This window comes from Homo sapiens, chromosome 14, assembly GCF_000001405.40.
Source record: "Homo sapiens chromosome 14, GRCh38.p14 Primary Assembly".
In the NCBI taxonomy this organism is placed as follows: Eukaryota; Metazoa; Chordata; class Mammalia; order Primates; family Hominidae; genus Homo; species Homo sapiens.
In genome coordinates this window covers 69,004,514-69,007,171 of record NC_000014.9, presented here as the reverse complement: position 1 = coordinate 69,007,171, position 2,658 = coordinate 69,004,514, and the positions used below count along the sequence as shown (strand labels likewise).

Below are 2,658 nucleotides of genomic sequence, written 5' to 3'. Positions count from 1 at the left end.
CCTGGGAAGCTTTACAAAATCCTGATGCTTGAGTCCTACCCCCAGAGATTTTTATTTAATGGGAAATCAGGATTTTCTGAAGTTCCCTAGGTGATTTTAACAGGCATCCAAGGCTGAGCGCCACTGGCTTAGTGGGTTCCAAATCCCACATCCACCAAGGTCCTTGACTGTAAATGTCACCTGGCCTGACCATCCCCACGACTGGAAAGAAGACCAGAAAAGTCCAGGACAGGAGCCCACCTCAAAGTCCAAGGTCCGTAACTGGTGCCTGTAACTGCTTGCCCAGAGCCAAACTGGGAAATAGGCACCAATAATAGTAACAACATAATGGTGACAATAATGATAGCCAGGGTTCAAACAGTATTTCAATAATGTACTTATTGTGACGTAGCAGGCGCCTTGCGTACTTTACCTCATTTGTTTCTCACAGCAATGCTATGAGTGAGGTGCAATGAATCTCTCCATTTACAGATGAGAACACTGAGGCACAGGCAGGTGAAGTGGCCAGCCCAGGGCCACTCAGCGAGGCTGGGCAGGTTGTGTTCTGGACCACTGGCTTTTCTATGCTGCCTCTCCAACCCCGGGCTGCCTCTAACTTTGCAGTCCCTGGGTCCCCTCAGAACTCTCCCGCTACTCACAGCCCTAGCACTTGATTTGCTGAGGGCCTGCCCCGAACTGGGGAGGTGGGGGTGAGCAATAAATGTGGATAAGGGGCCTGGCCTGGCCCCTCCACTGGATCTCACAGTCTGGCAGGGGTGATAAGGCCAGAGTAGGTGGAATGAGACACAGAGGATGGGTGGAGGGCGGAGGTGGTGGGATTCACCCTCAGCCACCAATTGATGGAGAGATCCTAACCCTTGGTCAGCAGGCTTCTAAGACACCCCTGCCACCGTATCCCTTGAGGCCAATGCCTGAGGCTGGATCCCTGAGCCCTCTTTCTGCCCCCGCACAGTTCCTGGAGGAGGACCATGTCATGGTTAGGACACACGTGGGTTCAAGACCAGACACCTCAACTCTGCAGACCTGGTTTCCTCACCTATGACATCCCTCCTCGCAGGTTTGCTGGAAAGATTGAACCAGCTGGACACAGCCAGTGCCTGGAGTCGGCCTAGCATAGTGTGGGTACAGCCCTTCTCTCATCCTCACCCTGCACTCCTCCCAGCGCCCAGCCTGGCTGCCCAGCCACTTCCCAGCACCAGCTTTCCATGTGGGAATGGAAACTCTGAGAGGGACCACGTCTCTTTGTATTTCCCCAGACTGAATTGTTCACAGCTGGCAGCATGGCTGAATGACTCACCCCTCCCGGAAGGATGCCTGTGTCAACCCAGCAGCTTCATTCAGGTCAATGCTTATTCCCTGAGCACCCGGTAAGTCCGTGGCTCTCATCCCTGGCAGCACACCAGAATCAGGGGGTTTGGAAGTGGGTGAAGCCACAAGGCAAGGAAGAGGCAGTGGAATCAGGATCTCTGGGGTGAGGCCCAGGCATCTGCATTTCTTACACAGTCTCTTTCATAAGGTCAGCAGAGGGTCTTCGGTGTAAGACCAGGGTGTTTGCTTAATATACAGAGTTCAGGCACACGCCCACACCAAGTGAATCAGACTCTGGGGATGGGTTGTACAACCTGTTTGAACCCCTTTCCCTGCAGGATTTCTTTCTTTTTTCACAGAAAGGTTTAGAAACTTCCCTACTTAGAAGAAACCAGTGTGAGGAATAAATGAGCCCAGCTGCCGAAGGACGTACCCTTGGGATGAGAGGATGGCCAGGAGCTGGAGGAGGCAAGGGCTGAGGGCCGGGAGGATGAAGATGAATCTCAGCTGAGGGAGAGACCAATCTGGGCTAGGGAAGGTGAGGCTGGGAGGTCTCTTGGAAGAGGCAGCTACATTCCTCTCATTCCTTAAAGGTGAATTTCTGAGGGTAGAATTTCAAGGGGGCGAATGGAAAGGACAGGAGCAGTATCTATCTATATCTATCAATCTATTATCTATCGGTCTATCATCTTCCCCCAATCCCCTCCCAGTGTTAACCAGCTCACCCTGTGGCAGCAGGAGCCTCTAGAGCTGGGTGTGTTGGAGGTTGGTGTGTTAGACTGCTCGGGTTTCCACAACAAGATACCAGAGACTGGATGACTTGAACACCAGAAATCGATTTCTCATAGTTCTGGAGGCTGGAAGTTTAGGATGCCAGCAAGGCAGCTTTCACTCTGAGACCTCTCCTCTTGGCTCGTAGTGGCTGTCGTCTTGCTGTATGCTCACATGAGCTCTTCTGTGAGGGAGAGGGTGGTGAGGGAGGAGAAGATGGGGAGAGGGCAGGGAGAGCTGGGGGAAGAGGGAGGAGGGAAAGGAAGGGGAGGGAGGGAGACAGAGACAGAGCATGCTCACTCTCTCTTGTGCCTCTTACTAATCCTATTGGCTCAGAGCCCCATCCTTATAACTTCATTTAGCCGTAATTGCCTCCTTGAAGGACCTGTCTCCAAATACAGCCACATGGAGCGTTAAGGCTTCGAGGTAGGAACTATGGAAGACATAATTCAGTCTGTGGCAGTGGCTTCTCTGATGTCTCAGCTTGCTCAAAGGACCATGCTGGAACTCACAGCATCCTCCAGGGAGACTGGACCAAAGTGGGAAAGGGTGTGGGTGACTGTTGAGTCCCCCTCGTGC

The 2,658-nt window shown here is 52.7% G+C and overlaps 1 annotated feature.

The window, feature by feature from the left end:
• Positions 1,104 to 2,303: an enhancer, noted in NCBI's record as "CDK7 strongly-dependent group 2 enhancer chr14:69471586-69472785 (GRCh37/hg19 assembly coordinates)". NCBI's record gives its function as "activates an origin of replication core promoter dependent on BRD2, BRD4, P300/CBP, MED14 and CDK7 cofactors, with strong dependence on CDK7, by STARR-seq in HCT116 cells {active_cell/tissue: HCT116}" and the evidence as "EXISTENCE:reporter gene assay evidence [ECO:0000049][PMID:35650434]".